At 49.0% G+C, this 17,950-nt stretch overlaps 2 protein-coding genes across 10 annotated transcripts in view, besides 10 other annotated features; one reads left to right on the forward strand and one right to left on the reverse strand.

The window, feature by feature from the left end:
* CHCHD4 (coiled-coil-helix-coiled-coil-helix domain containing 4) lies at positions 1–12,794 on the reverse strand. Of its 2 annotated transcripts, NM_144636.3 has the most exons (4): positions 12,579–12,794; positions 9,841–10,010; positions 4,350–4,448; positions 1–1,118 (listed from the first exon to the last, which is right to left on the reverse strand). In NM_144636.3, the coding sequence occupies exons 2-4, from the start codon at positions 9,899–9,901 to the stop codon at positions 811–813; spliced, it is 468 nt and encodes a 155-aa protein (NP_653237.1). In that variant the 5' UTR covers positions 9,902–10,010; positions 12,579–12,794; the 3' UTR covers positions 1–810. The 2 variants fall into 2 exon arrangements, with proteins under 2 accessions (NP_653237.1, NP_001091972.1); NM_001098502.2 differs by lacking the exon at positions 9,841–10,010.
* Positions 9,477–10,211: an enhancer, noted in NCBI's record as "NANOG-H3K27ac hESC enhancer chr3:14163053-14163787 (GRCh37/hg19 assembly coordinates)". NCBI's record gives its function as "activates a minimal SCP1, AML or CMV promoter by ChIP-STARR-seq in naive H9 embryonic stem cells {active_cell/tissue: H9 hESC(naive)}" and the evidence as "EXISTENCE:reporter gene assay evidence [ECO:0000049][PMID:30033119]".
* Positions 10,212–10,947: an enhancer, noted in NCBI's record as "NANOG-H3K27ac hESC enhancer chr3:14163788-14164523 (GRCh37/hg19 assembly coordinates)". NCBI's record gives its function as "activates a minimal SCP1, AML or CMV promoter by ChIP-STARR-seq in naive H9 embryonic stem cells {active_cell/tissue: H9 hESC(naive)}" and the evidence as "EXISTENCE:reporter gene assay evidence [ECO:0000049][PMID:30033119]".
* Positions 11,551–11,650: an enhancer, noted in NCBI's record as "active region_19496". NCBI's record gives its function as "activates an Ori minimal core promoter by ATAC-STARR-seq in GM12878 lymphoblastoid cells {active_cell/tissue: GM12878}" and the evidence as "EXISTENCE:reporter gene assay evidence [ECO:0000049][PMID:35858748]".
* Positions 12,211–12,260: a silencer, noted in NCBI's record as "silent region_14088". NCBI's record gives its function as "represses an Ori minimal core promoter by ATAC-STARR-seq in GM12878 lymphoblastoid cells {active_cell/tissue: GM12878}" and the evidence as "EXISTENCE:reporter gene assay evidence [ECO:0000049][PMID:35858748]".
* Positions 12,271–12,830: a silencer, noted in NCBI's record as "silent region_14089". NCBI's record gives its function as "represses an Ori minimal core promoter by ATAC-STARR-seq in GM12878 lymphoblastoid cells {active_cell/tissue: GM12878}" and the evidence as "EXISTENCE:reporter gene assay evidence [ECO:0000049][PMID:35858748]".
* Positions 12,271–13,220: a biological region, named in NCBI's record as "H3K27ac hESC enhancer GRCh37_chr3:14165995-14166729".
* Positions 12,419–13,153: an enhancer, noted in NCBI's record as "H3K27ac hESC enhancer chr3:14165995-14166729 (GRCh37/hg19 assembly coordinates)". NCBI's record gives its function as "activates a minimal SCP1, AML or CMV promoter by ChIP-STARR-seq in primed H9 embryonic stem cells {active_cell/tissue: H9 hESC(primed)}" and the evidence as "EXISTENCE:reporter gene assay evidence [ECO:0000049][PMID:30033119]".
* Positions 12,976–17,950, forward strand: part of TMEM43 (transmembrane protein 43) — an 18,629-nt gene continuing 13,654 nt past the window's right edge. For 7 of the 8 annotated variants that reach the window (NM_001407274.1, NM_024334.3, NM_001407276.1 and 4 more), the window contains exons 1-2: positions 12,976–13,129; positions 17,336–17,485. In NM_001407274.1, coding sequence (NP_001394203.1) covers positions 13,118–13,129; positions 17,336–17,485 — 162 coding nt within the window. In that variant the 5' untranslated portion in view covers positions 12,976–13,117. The remainder of the gene's footprint in view (positions 13,130–17,335; positions 17,486–17,950) is intronic. The other variant, NM_001407280.1, reaches the window with a different exon arrangement.
* Positions 13,021–13,220: an enhancer, noted in NCBI's record as "active region_19497". NCBI's record gives its function as "activates an Ori minimal core promoter by ATAC-STARR-seq in GM12878 lymphoblastoid cells {active_cell/tissue: GM12878}" and the evidence as "EXISTENCE:reporter gene assay evidence [ECO:0000049][PMID:35858748]".
* Positions 13,154–13,888: an enhancer, noted in NCBI's record as "H3K27ac-H3K4me1 hESC enhancer chr3:14166730-14167464 (GRCh37/hg19 assembly coordinates)". NCBI's record gives its function as "activates a minimal SCP1, AML or CMV promoter by ChIP-STARR-seq in primed H9 embryonic stem cells {active_cell/tissue: H9 hESC(primed)}" and the evidence as "EXISTENCE:reporter gene assay evidence [ECO:0000049][PMID:30033119]".
* Positions 13,321–13,610: an enhancer, noted in NCBI's record as "active region_19498". NCBI's record gives its function as "activates an Ori minimal core promoter by ATAC-STARR-seq in GM12878 lymphoblastoid cells {active_cell/tissue: GM12878}" and the evidence as "EXISTENCE:reporter gene assay evidence [ECO:0000049][PMID:35858748]".

Here is a 17,950-nt window from a genome sequence, read left to right on the forward strand (position 1 = left end):
TCAGGTAGAAATCATGTTTCCTTTTAATTGAATACTTAATTCACAACGTTTCCTCTCTTGCTGCTACTCTGGTAATAATTAGGTCCCCACCTCTCAAGAACATTGCACCTGACTAGACTGAGAGCCAGTGTGAACATGGGCCCCAAACCAGGGCTTTCGGAATAACAAGGAACAGCCAAGCCAGCCTCTCCCTTCACTTAGAAAGGGATTATGAATGGAAGGGTCCAAATCTTCATCATCCAAACACAGAAAACCAGGAGCTCAACACCTACATGGAAACCAAAATGTATCAGGAATAAAGTACAGTACCCCTTCACATACTCAAGGTCAAGATGGGTTTGCAGAAATCATATCTGACCATCTGGCCTCTGCTAGTAGATATGGCCCCATCCCAGCATTTTTAAGAGATGTTTTTGTTGTATTATTTCCCCAAGGGGTATAAAATCTACCAAAAGGAATATAATGAATCAGAATAAATCAGCTCACTCACAAGAAACGTTCTTGGGTAATGGTTTTTAGTTGCTGAGCTTATTCAGCACATTATTTAAAAGTGGCAAAATTCAGGGCAATCTGAGAATTCAAAAGTGGCGGCCACAGGTTTGGGTAGGACACACATACATACAACCCCCATTTTTTTCAGTGTATATGTCAAGATGTCAAGACCTCAAGACCTCTGATCATCAAAATAAGTTATTTTGTATATTATAATGCACAGGACAACAGAAGGAAACTTTCTTGGAAGGTGATGACAAGGCCTTTTGCAAAAGGTCCACTCCAAAAGGACTGGTGCCCAGTGCCTTGTGGCCTTCATTAACTTGATCCCTCCTCTTCTTTGGTTGCAGTGGCCTCAATGGGAGCTGTTTCTTCTGCTTGTTCTGCTGGCTTCTTCTCTCTTTCCTCTTCCTCATCCTCATCCTCTTGGGGATAGAGGTCTGGGTATTTCTGCATGCATTCCTGCATGGCCCGGAACTGGTCTACACAGTCTGACCCCTTGATCTCCTCCGTGCTATAGTGGAAGCAGGAAAAGGCTGACTTAAACTGTTCTCCACAGGGACCGCTGGCCATTCCCCCAAGGCATGGGCAGTTCCAGTTAATGTTTCCATTTGGCAGTATCAATCCTAGAACAGGAAGATAGAGAGATGTTCTCTAAAGTTTCAGAAAATACAAAACTAGTCCAGTCCTCACAGGCTACTGAGGGGGTGCAGAACAGGAACTATTGTTGCCTATGGACCCACACCTCGATTTGGATTAGGTTTAAAGCCTAGCACATATCCAGCATTCCTTGGCCCACCTGGGAGAGAAGCCACCAATGACATATTTCTCCACGTGTGACACTAATTTATTCTAAGCCACCTCTCAGTGCTCTGAGGCTGTGCTCCAAGAATTAAATACCGGGACCCATTTAGCCCAAAGAAGAGGAGATCACTTGGATGGTTAGTGAGGAGCTTTTTGAAAGCCCAAACACTTTAAGGAACTGAGGTATTGATCTCCTCTTTCCAATCCCCCTCCCCATATGGATGATCAGGACCACCCCACCCCCATGCTCCCTGCCCCCCTGAGCCCCTCTTGCCCTGCAGCTGCTCTCAGAAGCTCAGCATAGCCTGGGGACTGGTGAAAAGGAGGAGGTTGCTCCTTATGTACTGACGAAGAAAGATGTCCAAGACATGCTGCACAATGAGAAGCTGGTGGCATACCATTAGTGCGAGTGCATTCTTGTAAAAATCAACCAAACCTGTTAAACTGCACATATGTGTTGGGCAGGAAGCAAGGTTATAGATGGGTTTTCATTTTCACTATATTAATAGGCTTCTTACTTTTGACTTTTATACCTTTTCTTATCATTGAACTTTATTCACATCTAAATAGTATTTCTTGGTTTTCCAAAATGCTCTCAAAACGATGGCTTCATTTTCAGCTTTGTGAAGACATGATTCATACAGAAGTTTCTTACATGATTCTTATTAAGAGACTGAAAGTACTTTCTAAGAGAGCCTCTAAAAGGTCCTGTGAAATTACACATGATTCTTCACTCCAGGGCAGTACCCAAGCCTGGCACTCTGCACTAACGTCCAAAGTCCTAGGCGAAACCCCGCCTGCCTTCAATTCCAGCTTGGGAAGCTCCACTGATCAATGGATCTGCTGTAGCTATTCCTGTTCCTTACTTGTAAAATGGGGACAGCAAGGACGATGCCAACTAGTGCTGCCCCCTTAGCAGGCGCAGACCCCCAGGACCATCAGCAGTTGCAGATCAAGTTCTCCTGCATTAAGCTACGTTTGGTAACTCACATAAGCCTTCTGACAACCTTCTGCAGTGGGTGCTACTAACCCCAGTTTACTCATGCAGTCTCTGGGGTTCATGGTCCAAGTGAGGACTGCAGACTGGGCTGACAGGATTCCCAGAGTCCATGCCCCTTCCCCTACATCTCACCACTTCTTGAAATGGACCTCAGTGCTGGAGAAACATTTGCAAATGCTGCCCCCTGGAGCTTCAAATCTGCTCACAAACCTGCACAACCAGTTTCCAAAAGAGGTAATACTGACATTTAAAAATTACAACCCAGTACAAATTGACCAGGTGGTTGATTAAAAAAAATCATAACAAAAAATGTATAACCTAGGTCTCCAGGAGTCCTTGTTTCATTGTTTCTTAGGGGCAGGTAAGCTGGAATGAGATACCTCCTCACAAAGCACATGGTGCCAATTTGCATTTCAGGGACACAATATAAATCCACACAGAGGGTACCTTTGGCATGTTACATAAAGCTCAGATGCAGTGTGTTGTCAAACATGCAGTCTAAGGCCTGAAGTTCCAGTCTCTGGCTGAGTCAGTCTCCGCCCCCGCCCAGGCCCCCAGTTTTCTCATTGGATCAGATGATCTTTAAGGCCCTCTTGATGTTTTGATTCTAGGAAAATTAATTCTGCCACCTTTTTTCTTGGTACTCTTAGCTATTCCAAGCACCATCTCAGCTGCAGAGCTGGATGCTGGAAGGCAGGTAGATGGCATAAAATGGTGGCTTACTTGGTCCACTTACTAATTTTGCAGTTTAAGAGCTTGAAACTTGGGTCCCAGAGTTCTTTGCGTTTTATAGGCTTCTTTTTACAAAGTATTCACTATAAGGGGCTGTAAAGCCAAATGCATCATATGGTATACCTACTATCCAAGCAGATACATTGCAAGTGACAGAAGCAGGTAAAAAAAAACAACAGGGACAGGAAAGAATGGTGGGATCTGGAGGGGGCAGACCAGTCTAAAGGCAGATACGTACTGCTTTTAATAACACTGTGAGGCAAACAAAACAAGGCCCGATTTGTCCTGCAGGCCTCCACAGTCTTGATCAATTAATGAAATGTGCTTAATATGGATCTAAAGATAAGCAAGGTACTAGAATTGACATGTAAGCCCTGATCAAGATTACCCTTGCAGCTGTCTTTCTCAGAATGCTAACACTTTGTATAACGTCTGCATTTCCCACTGCTCCCACTGGGTGCTGGATATGTATTTTATGCTTTAACCCCTAGGAGCAGTCAGGGCAACAAGTGAAGGGTCCTACAAGGAATATACACACATCAGTTAGCATTTGAGAAATTCCAATCAGGAGCCCATATTCTCGAGGCGGCTGCTTCAAGCTCTTCAATTACCAGTTAGCACTAGAAGATTAGTTGTCATCATGGACATCAGAAGTGGTTTTTGATTGGTGAAGTGACTACTGTACAATACGTAGATTGTTCATGGACACTGCACACACACATCCACCTCACACGGTCTGCAGTAGTAAGTATCTAGTGAGTTTAGCAGCCCAAATCCTTTGGAACAATGTCCTAGGCCTAAGCGACCACTGTTATATTCAGCCATTAACCAAGGAGTGAGCAACAGCTCTGACTAGGTTAGCTGACTCCTGCTGCTAGAAAGCTGTCTGTGGCAAGTGACCTTTTCATGTAAGGTGCTTGCTGGAGCAGTTAGAGACAGCAGGGACTTCACCAACCTTACAGAACAAGGTGAATGACTGTCTACTTGCTAATAAAGTTGGTAGATGTGGCAGAATTCAGTCTGGCAACTTGTCTGAGCAAAAGCCCTGTCACCTTAACCTACCTATAACTGCTGGAATCTACTAATACCCTCTCCCAAAACTTAGCTGTTGTGCCAGGGAAGTACATCAGAACAAGGCTGGAAAGCACAGTCCCTCAAACCTCTGAGGAAGATAAACCACTGCCCTCAGAGATGGTCTATGGCTGAGAATAGATACCTGAAAACTTGGCCTTGGCTAGGAAAACATGGGAAAGGAATTAAGAACACTGAGCTTCTCCCCAGTGCCCTGGTGTGGGTCCCTGGGAGGCCACATGTCACTCACCATGCTCCTCGTATGGATCGTTGGGGTCATCAGCCACCAATTCTGCACTGCTTGGAGTTTCATGATCTTCTTTGGTTACAAATATGATTCGATCCTTCCCTAGTGTTTGGAGAACAGAGGAAGAAATATTTCATTCAAGAGCAGTGAATCAGCTTTAAACCCAAAGCAGCCGCCACACAAACCAAGTTTGAAGACTCTCCCATATGCCATCCCTATGTGAGGTGACTATCAAACTGCTCTCATATGCTAGGGGTAGCAAACAAAAGCGGATGGATAAGGGGCAGGGCAGGAAAAGAAGCACTGAAGAAAAAGAGTGTCCTGGGGTTGACCCACAGGGTTCAGAATGCATAAAAGTTGAAGGAAGACTGAGCACATTGGCAAAGTGAGTGTGCAGTGATGTGGGTCCTCAGCCTACAGATCACTGCAGCCCACATAGCTGATGCGGCCACAGGCCCCTGCCTCTGAAAGGCTGAGGACACAGGTGGTCTGAGAGGGACCACAGCCAGCACCCCCACTAGGCCTCTGGGCTCCTAATCGTGGCCGGAAGAAGGAAGGGTCATAAGGTGAGGAACACTGCAGCCGTTCCACTCCCCACAGTCCAAGAGGCCGGGGGACCATTTCCCAACAAGTATAATAACTGGAGGGGGGCAGTGGGAGGAGCACTTCTCAGATCTTTTTAACTGTGACCATCTGCAGTTTATTTTTTTAGGACAAACCCAACAGTGGTTAGGGTCAGGACTGTGGTCCTGTGAGGACCAGCATGGGAAAGCCAGCAGGCCTAAAGTGCAGAGCACCTTGTTCACAACCAGAGCCCTCACCCTGGGGCCTGGCTGCCGGAAGGTCTGAGGGCTCCAGGAAAACAGACCAGTGAGAGTCAAATGCATTTTATATTAGGAGCTTCTCCTCACTGGAGGCTGGGTGAGCACAGAAAAGCACATCAGTCCTGGCCAAACCAGGGTGGGTGCATTCACTGCCTTAGAGTGACCCCCTATGAAGTATTATCACCCTCAGCCCCCATGGAGTACAACAGAAAACCAAGGCTGAGTTAAGCAGAAGGGAGGTCCTTACAGCCCTCTCTGCTACACCTTGTAGCTGTCAACACTTTACCTCACCTCCCTAAAAACTTTGGCCATCAGCTAACCACACCACAGGTATGTGTCAGATATTCCCATTGTGGGCAAGGAGCACCTTGTCCTCAGTACCCCACACTGCACGGTGGGTCATCAGTTTCTCCAGCTGTCCCCAGAGAACAGACAGAGCCAGTCCATCTTTTGGTCCTCCGTGTGAGCTCATTCCTCCATCCTATCGCCACCCTGAGAGGGAGGTAGCAGCATCCCCTTTTAATGGTGGTGAGCCTGAGGCTGTGAGTAGTAACTTGCTGGGCCACACAGGACAGGATGCTCTGAAGTCTACACTGTTGGAGATCCTTTCTACACACCCATACTGCCCCGCACCAACATTTGCACAAGAATAATCGACAGCTGACACTGAGCACTTAGCATGACTGGGCACTGCCTGAGAGCTTGTGCACCTTGGGCAATGAATAAATACAATAAATTCTGACCCAACCTCGGCCCCAAAAAGCTTAGAACCAAGTGAAATGTTTGCCAAGTAAACAAACAAGATCTTTCTTGTACTTTCCTGGTGAAGGTGAATGACAAATTCTACAGACCAACTGACCATGCATTCTGATCCTAGAAGATCTGGGGTACTGGGACCCTCATCTGGAAGGGGATAGGAGGTGCCAAGCATTTAAGAAGACTTCTTCAGGTATGGCCAAAAGTGCCTGGCAGAGAGCCACAGTGCATGGCTCTGAGTGAGTGGCCACTGTGGGCGCAGAGGCCGGACCTGCAGAAACGTGGCCCTGTGAAAGCTGCGGGCATCTCTGATCACTTTATACTTTTTGTTTATATTTAGAAAAGTTCAGTCACAGCTATGCTGAGGGGAAAGCAAGGAAAAAGGTTTGGGCCCATGCTTGGGCTGAAGTAATTAAGGAAGAGGCTTCTGGAAGGAAGGGGGCAGTGACAACAAAAACCGAGCGACATCTCCAGTGAGAAGGACAGTTCAGGGGACAGAGGGAGGGCACTTTGGTGCCTTACGCCATGCCCACACTGCACAGGGTCTCTTACACTAGAACAGAGTAACAACAAAAAACCCTCAGCACACGGGGCCAGGACCCCCAACCCACTGGAGGCTTTTGCTCCCAGAGCTGGCCTCTGCCTCAATACCTTGCATGTCATCCAACAGAAGGCTGCTTTTCCCCTGTGGCTGACTGGGGAAAGCTTTTGGACCAGGCAGCCAGGACTTGTTAAAGTACCTAGTAACCTTGATTCTACTATTCTGGCCAGTTTCCAAAATACTCAAAAGCAATCTGTAAAAATGTTGAACGCTAAGCAGAATGAGCTGATGCAAATTTCGCAACTCAGCTCTGGCAGTTTTGTTTACCGAGATGGCAGCTCAGCGCAGCCCAACGGGGAGGCCCAGTCACAGGCACAGAAAGCAAAGGGTCCAAACGTGGTAAAGTATGAGGCCCTCCTGGGGTTTGCCATACATAGAGAGACCAGGCCTCACCCAAGAAAAGCTGAATCGAGCTCTCTGCCATGTCCATGTAGCTCACGGGCTTCACAGGTGACTGTGATACACAGCCAGGTTAGGAAACACCAGCCTAGCACAATCCCACTGAGAATTCCAGGTCCCTCCCACTGGGCCAGGTCCTCACATGTGCCTTCCTGGACATTTTCCCTTGCAGCACAGTTCACACTGGATCGAAAGTAGAACAGTAACAGCTGTATCTTTTACACATTTTTGTCCCATGCAATGTGTTTTATTACATCTGTGAGTTCACTGGTGGGTATTACTTTATCTCCATTTTACAGAGACCACAGGATCTGAGAAACAGACCAAAAGACATGCAGTAAATGAAGGCAGAACAGGAACAGGAACTCTGGTCTGAAAGATCTGGAGTATGTCCCCTACAAACTGTCCATTGTATGCCTGTCCTAGAGGGCCTTTGCTTTCTGGAACTTTTAAAAGTCGATTCAAGGACTGATGCAAGGACAAGGCTTACCTATTCCTAACAGACCTAACTGTGAAAGAAAGGACTGGTCAGACTAGTCGTAAGATGCCAACTAGTGGGACAATCAGCTAGACTAGTAGTTCTCATGACATTTGTCAGCAATTTCTCTAGAGAAATAAAATTTAAAAGTGCTTGTGTTTTTATTTCTAAGATAAGCTTTAAAAGCAGTTGAATATGCATGTTCTGAAGGAGGTGGAAAACTACCTTAAACCCTCTGGTGCACAGTGGCTTCAATATTTCAATATCACAGAGAGTCTGAGAACTGGAGTTCAAATCTGGGCTTAAGCACTTCCCACTGTATGAGCTCAGGTACCATCTGGGCCTCAGAAACCAGGCCTTACCACCAGCTCCACCTACCTACCTCACGTGGTTGGGGAGGTGAAATGAGTTTCTGCTGTCAGCTGGAATCCCACTTGACAGCAATTTTTAAAGGGCATCAAGGATAGCATGGCCAGGAAAAGAGACAATCACAGGCTCAGAGATGTCAATAATGTTTTGGAAATGGGAGAGCTGATGGTCGAGTGCTCTCTGACTTAACCAGTGAAGAAAGCTGAACTCAAAGTGCACAAGGAGGAGGTCATCCAGAATCAACTCAGTCCCCACCCCAGAACCTTGGTCAGAGTGGGGAACTGGAGGCCCGAGGGGTTACTCTGAGTGCAGGACTTCAGGGTGGGGCTGAGAACAGAACTGAGTGAGCAGTCAGATACAAAGACACCTTCCACCCCCAGCTGTTTAGTTTTACTCTCGGTAGAGCCACCCCAACCCGTCTTTCTCTCACATCTCCAACAGCAAATTGGAATGGCTCGATCTTCAAATACATCCAGAAAGAGCTGCATCCCTCACCTCTTCGACCCCATCTCCCACCATCACTCCCTGCACTCCAGCCACGCTGGCCTCTGCTTTTACTTGAATGTGCTGAGCACATGCCTACCTCTGGCCTTTGCACAGGGTGTTCTGTCCTCCAGGAGCACCTTCCCTTCCCTCAGGTACCCTCACAGCGATTTCTCCCTGCTTTCACCTCCTGCTCAGATGCCACCGTCCCTGACCACTGCCCATCTCCCTTATCCCGCTTTATCTTTCTCCAAAGTGCTTTTCGTCACCCAACATACTATGTATGTTTACCACTTGATGCCCCCACTGGAATGTCAGCTCCTCAGAGGCAGTGATTTTTGTCTATTCTGTTCATTGCAGTATCCTGAGAGCCCAGAATAGTACCAAGGACAAAGTGGGTGTTCAATATTTGTTGAAAAAAATGAATGGAGAAACAACTCTGGATTAGGGCTTGAAGACCCAAGTGTAAGAATTAAAGAGGAGAGAAACACGAAGGGTGGCTTTTCAGTCAACAGGGACAGGTTTATTTTAAACAAACCTGAGAGGGGCTGCTGGCTGAGTTAGGTCAGAGCCACACTCTCTTACAGACTAAGAGTTTTTAAGGATTCAGGGTGGGAGAGCTTATCAGTGGCTTGGACTGCTTCTGTGTCTCTTTGTTGTGCTTATCTGGGAGGCAGACTGGTGTGTCTGTTTCCATACATCTTTCTGCAGCTGCAGGCATATCCCCCCAAGACTGCTTTTAGCTTCCCTATCTTAGTACACCTGAAGGGAAAGGAATGTGCTTATTAAGGCCCACAGTTTTACTGGGGCCCATTGTATGAGGGTGAAGTTTGGCAGTCACCCAAGAGACTTTCCCCCCACCTCCCTCTGTGTCCCAGCTGTCTTGTCTGTGTTTTACTGTCTGCTCTTTCTGGCTGCTTGTAGTTAGAAGAGAAGTGACTTCCTTGAAATGCATGAGGCTAGAAAGGGAGCTGGAACTTAATGTGCCAGTGTTTGTCCGAGATGACGCTACTCCTGCTCTGTCACCCAGTCCCAGCAGAAAGCAGGAAGACAGAATGGTTATCACCATTAAGTGAGTGAGACCAAAAAATCCCTTGGATGAGTAGTTTGATTTCCCCCATGAAAGGGGAGGATCTTTATACACCAGAATCTCTCAGCTCATCCACCCCAGAAGGAATGCCCCTGTGTCCTGCAGAGGAAGCAGTTTATTGTCTCCCATGGATGCTGACTCCCCAGGGTCATGTTTGAGAATGGCAACCTGCACTAAGGACTTATTTTCTTTCGTTTTTGGCTAAGTTGATTCAATACACCTGTGATACAATTCCAACCACTACTTTCTGAAGCTCAACCCAAGAAAGAGATCTAAAGCCAGAGGGAGTGGTGCCTGTGGTGTATTTTGAGTGAGGTAAGGGGTTTCTAAGAGTTTGATAAATCTGACTGCTAAGGACTTTCATGTTTAGAATCTAACCCCTTTGAAAGATACAACTCCCCCATACAGAATCAAGTGTCTGTGAAGAATACACAAATGGCTTTCAGACAGAGTGTTAAGAAGAATGCAAGTGTTAGAAGTTTAGCTCAACAAACCTTCCTCAGCTCCAGCTCTGTGGTAGTACCTGGTGGTCACAGATGAATACGACACAGGCATCCAGTGGAGAAGACGGAAGGGGAGGGATCCTACCTTTGTCCCTGACAAAGAGCTTCAGGGAGGGAAGGAGGGGAATAGACATTCCAGAAGGAACCATCCTGGGCAAAGCCTGGAGGGCAAAAGGAGGGTTTTAAGTAGTGTTCGCTCACACGTGTTTAGGATTGCAAAAGGTTTTCTTAAGAAAGTGGCATTTAAAAGGATGTCTGAAGCCTCAGGAAGCCTTCTCAGACCCCATAGAGCCTTTCACTAAACGATCATAGCATGCTGGGCTTTTCCTTCATGTCACCTATGACAGTCTGTAATCATGCATTTGTCTGGTGATGTTTTAATGGCAATCTGTTCCACCATGCCAGGAGGGCAGAGAATGTGTCACCTTGCTCACCACTATATGCCCAATGGCTGGCACATCACGTGTGCTCTATAATTGTTGACTGAACAGGAGTTGGCAGGCTCTGCATTAGAAAGAGGAAACTAAGAAAGAAACACTATGGTGCTGACACAGGAGAAGTGTGGCTAGCCCAAGGCCCAGGTGCGAGGCTGAGAGCCCTTGAATGCCAAACCAACGAGTTTAACCTGAAGGCTGGGTAGCAGGTGGACCCCTGAAATAAACTTGTACAGGCAAGTGATTCACTCAGAACAGAGGGCAGGTAAATGCATGATTCAATAAAGATGTGGGCACCCATTGTACACCAAGCCCTGTGCTAGATGCTGGGGATTCCACAGCCCATCTGATGCTCTCAGCTTAGTGCGAGAAGACAGGCAGGAAGTAAGATGGCAAAAAATAAAAAAGGTCATTTCAGACAGTTCAGGATGTGAAAGACACAAAGGGTCAGGAGGTGATATTGGAGCTAAATGTTAAAGGATGAGGAGTCAGCCACGGAAGAGCTGAAGGCAGGATATACCAAACCAAGGGAATAGCCAAGAGGCTAGAGGCTGGGCAGCAAAAGGGTGGGAAGAGACCAGGCTGGAAAGGCAGACAGGGCCAGATCACATAAGCTCTGATACAGTAAGCAGTTTGGGATCATTTTTTAAAAATCCTATGGGAAGCATAAAGGATCAGTGGGGGGCGGAGGGGGGGAAGTTAGGGACTTCTTACGGGGACAGTGGTATGCACAAGATAAATACTAAGGAAGGCCTATAAGTGAGTGCTTTCAATTCTCACTCCTCTCCGAACTAAGAGAGATCTTTGAAGCAGGAAAAGATAGGGCTCCATGTTTTGGAGGCAGATGGACCTAGCCTCCCCTTTCCAGAGAAAACTGCCTCCTGTAAATCCTCAAAGAGGAGGGTCTTGTTTATCAGCACAGCCTCATTATACCCAAAGGCTCAAAAATTATTTGCTAAATGAAGTAAATTAGAGAAAGACTCGAAATTAAAAACAAGAGTGGTGAGGGCAGAGGACTTTTGCTTATGGCACACATTAAGTAGTAATCAGCGGAAATATAATAGTACTCATTAAAGAGTGAGTCTTATGGCTTTACGACCCAGAGGAGGAGAGGTTCTAGAAGCAGACAGCGCCACCAGGGAAAAGGCTCAGAATTTTAGGCTGAGCTAGTCTCCTAACTGGATGTGTAACTACAGGTAGGCCACCTCCTTCTCTGGGCTTCAGATTGCTTGAATTAACTGACGGAGCTGGAGTATTCACCAAAGAATTTCTGGGGGACTTCCAACTCTCTCTGTAGTTTTATAACCATCCATCCCCCTTCTCTGGCGCAGAGAAGGTGCTTCATGAGTATTTGCCGTATCAATGAAGCCCAACATCTCATTTTACAACACTGGATACCAGGGCCTGGAGGGGTTAGGTGGGAGCTCAGGGCCAAGGAGCCAGTTTGTGGCAGTGTGTGGGGAGGCCCTCCGACCTGTGGCTCGGGTACTTCTGAGCTCTTGGGTAGAGTAACATCAAGGAAGCAGTAGGTGGTCGGAGCTCAACTTTGGGGTGGGAGGTAGGCAGGGTTCTCCCTGCAATCCACTGGGCACTAGATTGGATAAGGCTCTTCTGGGGTCACAATGCCCAGGCTCAAACCCCAGCTCCACGATTTGCTGGCTGAGTGGCTTTAGCCATGTCTCCTGTGTCTAACTTTACTCTTCAGTAAAATGTGACCAACAACAGAGCCTGACTTACAAAGGTCGCAGCGAGATCTGTGAGACAAGCCAGGCAAGTTTCCTTGAACAGTGCCTGACAGGTAGCAGGGGGCTCAAAAACATTCCCGTTAGTGGAACTCCTAGCACTCCAGCACAGCACACGCTACCCCGAGTGGCAACTTTTCGGGACGCGCCTTTTAAAGGCGCGTGCAAAATGTAAACACGTGGGGTATGGCAGGAGCGGTAGTGATAATTAACCACCATACATTCCCAGTTTCGAGCCACACGCAACGTGCTCGGCACTTCCCGTGCCCCAACCGGACCTAGTTTACGACTTCCTACGCACAGGCCCCTCTGAGGTCAGGGTTCGGGCTTCACTGTGACCTTGGACCAGCCCCGTTCCCCCCAGAGCTTCGGTTTTCTCATCCGCAAAACAGGAGTAGCGACCCCCCAGCCGGCCCGCCTCCGAGTGTCCCAGGGTGGGCACCTGGGCCGCGCCTCAGGTGGCCCGCGCCCGGCGTGGTCGCGGGGCGCCGGGGCCCGCGTGTCTCCCGCAGGCCCTCGTAGGCCGGTCTCCGTGGCAGCCCGCCCTCCCTACCTTCCTGCCGGCAATAGGACATGGCTGCAGCCCGTCCCTGAGACCTTGCAGAAGCGGCGGTGGCGGCAGCTGCACCTTTACGCCGTGACCTCCCTCTCCTCTGGCAGGGCGGGCTCCTCCGAAGCCCGCGCGGACCCGCCCCCTCCCAGGCCTGCCCGCCGCGCGCCTGCCTCGGCGCCCTCGCAACCGCGGCCAGGCCAACCTCAGCCGGAAACTACATTTCCCAGCAGGTCGCGCGCTCCTCGACAGCTCTCCAGGCAGTAGAAACTACATTTCCCCGAAAGCTTTGCAGTGCGCAGGCGCATCAATGAGGTACTGCAATGTCCCGGACCGTATAGTTTCCAGGACGTCTCGCCGCGCGCATGCGCAGAAACACTGGGCACAGGGGGAGGTAACTGCAGTAAGTCCCGCTTGGCCCTGGAGTCCACGCGGATTTTCGAAGCTGGGGCTGGCAAGAGGCCGCTGGACACCACGCTCCAGTCGTCAGCCCACTTCCTAGCTGAACAGCGCGAGGCGGCGGCAGCGAGCCGGGTCCCACCATGGCCGCGAATGTGAGTATCCCCGGGCCAGCCGGGCCACACCCAGGCTTCCCCGTCGCCCTGGGGCTTTTCCCCGGGGTCCTCTAGGTCCATTTCGCCGCCTGGAGCTCCTCCGTGCGGCTAGGCCCGCATCTCCCTCTGCTCGCCGTGTCTGTGCCTTCGCCAGCTCATCCCTCTGCTCATCTCGCGGCCTGTCCAGGCTTCTTTTGTCCGTGTTCCTTGGCTCGCCTCGTCCTCGGCGTTCGTGCGGAGGCGGACTCGGAGGTGTTGCTCCCGTACTGGGATCTGCTTGTACGCCTCTCCGCGGCCCCTCCTTGCATTCCCAGTTCCCTCCTGTACCTTGGGGCCCTGAAACTTGCGCATTATGAGAGCTGGACGCGACCTCAGAGAGGGCGCCAGTCCCTTGGGAGGGAGGAAGGCGATCCAGCCCAAGTGGAGCTGTCCAGCAATGGACAGACAGGGCTGTCCAGGCGGGCAGAGAGCTCTCCGCCCTAGGGAGTCTCTGTAAACCGAGTCTGTGATGCTCCAAAAAGCTTAGGCTGGGCTGGGAGCGAAGGAGTTGGGGGAGAGGGAGCATTTCTCTACTGTCGGGGCCCCTCCTCCCCCTAGCAAGGATTTGGTTGGAGGAGGCCTGGCTGAGGGCTGTTCCCTCAAGGCCTCTTCTCCCTGCAACTAGCCTTTCTCGGGAAACTATTTAAGCCCAACATTCATTCAACAAGCAGCGCCTCCTACCAGGGCGCTGGGTGTGGGAGAAGCTGGTGACTCACCTCTCCCCTCCTCTGTGAAAGTGCTTCTAGGGCCCGCTTAGGAGCCCAGCCAGCCCCAGACACACCCTCCCTCCTGCTTTGGTAGAGTGTCCTAGCAGCTCTCCCCTTGCCTGTCACACCCTATTTCCAGACACCGCCTCTGTCCCCAAGCGTCCTCTCTGCCTCCCACACCCCTTGAGAGGCCAGGGTGTGCATCACCCACAGCCCTAGTACACTTTGTCTCGGGTTAGTATCATCCACACTCCCAGGACATTTCGGGCCCACAGGAGGGTTAGAAGCCTTGAATGTTGTACCTAGAAAAGCCTCAGAGGTATTCGGAGAGACTCAGGCTCGGCCAGGCGAGAGGGCAGTCAGGAGACCAGCCTGTCTGTAGTATGTGGACTCTTTGTCTGCTCCCATCACTACCACCACCATATTTTACAGATGGGGAACTTCCCTAGCAGGGGAAGGCACTTGCCCAAGCTCTCGTGGCCGGCTTGGCATGCTGTGACACGGAAATATGCTGAAAAGGGCAGGCTTTGGAGTTAGGGAGACCTGGGGGCAATCCAGATTCTTCCACCCAGTAGCTGTGTGGCTTTCATCTCTCCAGGTTTATGTAGCCTCATGGATCAGTTACTGTGATATTTAAGGGAGACTGCTTAGCACAGTGCCTGATGTGTGGTAGGTACTTAATACTTGAAAACAAGCCTGTCCTTGCAGGGTAGCACAAATGGTCCCAGTGGATAGAGATCATCTTGGGTACATTGAGACCTGACCCCTCACCAAGGAATATACATGCATTTGAGTATTCTCTGCTGCCAAGCATTTTTTGATTCATCCAGTAGCTGAGTACACATTTACAGCAGCCACTAGGCTGGGTGAGGAAGAAGATAGCGGGATGGAGCAGGGAGGCAACAAAATTCTCAATCAGTACAGCAGCAGCAGTACCTGTGGTGAAGGTACTATTCCCCTCTCCACTTTATAAGTGAGTAAACAGAATCAGAGAGGTAGAGCAATTTACCCAGGCTTACACAGCAAGCGATTGGTGAACCTAGGCATCAAATCCAGTTCTGTCCATTTCCAGGGCCTATGTGTCAGCCTCTGTTCCCACCACTCATTGCTCATTTCTTCTAAGTCCTGAGTGCTAGGACTGGGAGGGGATGTGTCACTGGGGATGTCCGTCTGTGTGTGCGTGTGTGTGTGTGTTTATATAATGTGTGTATACATGTAATACATACTATATGTATATATAAATATGTGTGGATATATAGATCCTTTATGATCCTCCATGTTTACTGGGAATTTTGGTTCAGAATGTGGGCTGGGTTTGTCATGTCACTGCCCACCTCACCCCTCCCCTAGCCTGAGGGGCACCCTCCTGTACCTCTCTTCCTTCCCTCCAAGGCCGTCTTTGAGCCCCTTATCTTGATGCTGGCTGAGGGGAGGCCCAAGAGGAAGACACGCCTTATTTTCCTATTGCTGCCTGCAGCTGGCTCCCAACATTCAGCTCACATTGTAGCCCAAGAGATGGGGAGCACAGACTGGAATGAGTAATGGGAGAGTAGCCTCCAGTCTGCCCGGATTTGAATCCTAACTCTTCCTCTTAGAAGCTGTGTGATCTGGGAAGATGACGTAACCCTGAGCCCGATTTTCTTATCGGTGAAATGGGGTCGTTATGACATCCCGCTCTTTGGGCTTGCCTGTGGGCTGGCCTGTGATAGACCCGGTGTGTTTGCCATTGTCATCATTGTGATGGTCACCTGCCCCTATGTGGTGATTCACTCACCTAATGTTTCCAAATGGCATGGAAAGTCAAGACGACTTCTGGATTCATGGACATCTGGTCACTGGAGGCCTTGGCTGGTGGTACTCAAAGACAATCAGAATGCGACATCAGCTTTGTTCAAGCAGAGATTCTGAGTCAAATCACTCCTCTGGCCCCCAATACCAGGATGGGGCCTGTCTTAGCTGGGCCCCACTTTACATCTTTGTGACTTTTGTCAGCTCACCCCCAGCCTGGTGCCAGCCCAGTATCAGTTGTAGGGAAATCTGGTAACATTTCTACTAGCTAACACGTGTCCAGTGCTTACCACGCCCTAGGCCCTGAGCTACCCAATAACTGTGTTCTTTGGTTCTCACCACAACCCTATGCACAGAGGAAATGGAAGGCACAAAGTGGTGAAGTTGCTTGCCCAAGACCCCGTAGCTGGTATGTGGCAGAGCATAAATGCAAACCCAGTTCTTCTGGCTCCAGAATCCTGCCCTAGACGATGACACTTTTGATCAGCAGTGGATGCACCCCAAATCATGCCTCTGTTATTGACCAAAGCCTGATCCACTCACCCTTGAGTTTGAGGCCCACTGTGAACCTGCCCAGAAATGCCTACCTCCAAGCCCTTTCTTCCTCCACTGCTCCCACCCAGCCAAAGCAGACAGGCAGCTGCTCCCCCAGAACCACTTCCTACTTCCTCATCACTGCTGATACGGTTCTCCCTTTAGGGATGCTCTTCCCCTAAGATCTGCCTCTAAGATTCCACTCAAGGGAGCCTCCTTGATACCCCAGGTGGAAGGGGTCACTCCTTGAGCACCAAGTCCACCCCCATCACAGGACCCTCTGTGTGACCTTCTAGTATTGTTTATGGTTGTGACCTCACTGCCCTAAGACTGTCTACTTCTGACCCCACAAGGGCTAGCACTGCCCTCAGAAAGCTCAGCCACTGTTTGCTGAATTTAATTAAAAATACATCTCTAATAACCTCTTTGTAAAATAGCTTGGCAGTTTCATAAAAAGTTAAACGTACATCTTCTTCACGAGCCAGCAGTTGTACTCCTAGGTATATTCCTACGGGAAATGAAAGCACATGTCTGCATAAAGGTTCATGTATGAATATTCACAGCAGCATTATTCATAACAGCCAAAACCTGGAAGCTGTCAAGATACCCATCCACTGACGAATGATTCAGCACACTGTGGTATAGTCATAAATGGAATACTACTCAGCCATGAAAAGGAACAAATTCCTGATAAACACCACAACATGAATGAATTGCAAAAGCAGTGCTCTGAGTCCAAGAAGCTGGGCAGAAAGGAGTTGGTGCCCTGATTCCATTTTTCTCAAGTTGTAGAAGAAACAAACTAATCTACGGTAGGAGAAATTCAAATTCAGATTCTCCCCATCCCCACCAGTTACCTCTGGTTGGTGGAGAGGGGGAGAATTGGCAGGAAAGGGGCACAAAGAAACTTTTTGGGGTGATGGAAATATTTTGTACCTTGCTTTAGATGTTGGTCAGATGGAATATACGTTTGTGGAAACCTGCCAAACTGTACATTGAATATCTGTGTGTTTTTACCACATACAGTTAAAACTAAAAAAAAAAAAAAAAAAAAAAAAAAATTGAGTATAAATAAATAGCAAATTTAATTTATTTTTAAAAACTAGTTTTCATTCTGTTACTGTTTCTTTTTCTTCAGTATTCCAGTACCAGTACCCGGAGAGAACATGTCAAAGTTAAAACCAGCTCCCAGCCAGGCTTCCTGGAACGGCTGAGCGAGACCTCGGGTGGGATGTTTGTGGGGCTCATGGCCTTCCTGCTCTCCTTCTACCTAATTTTCACCAATGAGGTAAAATGTCTGGGGTCTTCCTGTGCAGAGTGAGAGTCCCCACCATGTCAGAGAGCAAAGGCGATGAACCCGGAGGCTGGATTTGGTAATCAAGGGCCTAGATTTTAAAAAGAGAAAGGAGGATACTGAGTTAATCACAGTTCTTTCCATTGTGATCCATCCCACAGCTGATGTGAGCAGGAAGGGGAGTAGATCAGTTCACACACCTGAATATCCAGGGGTTAGCACCTGCCTCAGGCGTAGTTGGATCCAGGTGTTCATGCTGGGTCACCAGGAATCTCCATTTCTTCATCTTTTGCCTGTTTTTCTCTATTATGGTGTTTTTCTTGGGCAGGCACTTCATCTGTGATGGCAAATGTGGCCCCAGCAACTGGCCTACATCCAACCACTTAGCCCAGGGAAGAGAAAAACCATCTGTTTCTCTTCCTTTCTTTCTTTTCCTTTCTTTCCCCTCCCTCCCTCCCT

This window comes from Homo sapiens, chromosome 3 (assembly GCF_000001405.40).
Source record: "Homo sapiens chromosome 3, GRCh38.p14 Primary Assembly".
NCBI lineage: Eukaryota > Metazoa > Chordata > Mammalia > Primates > Hominidae > Homo > Homo sapiens.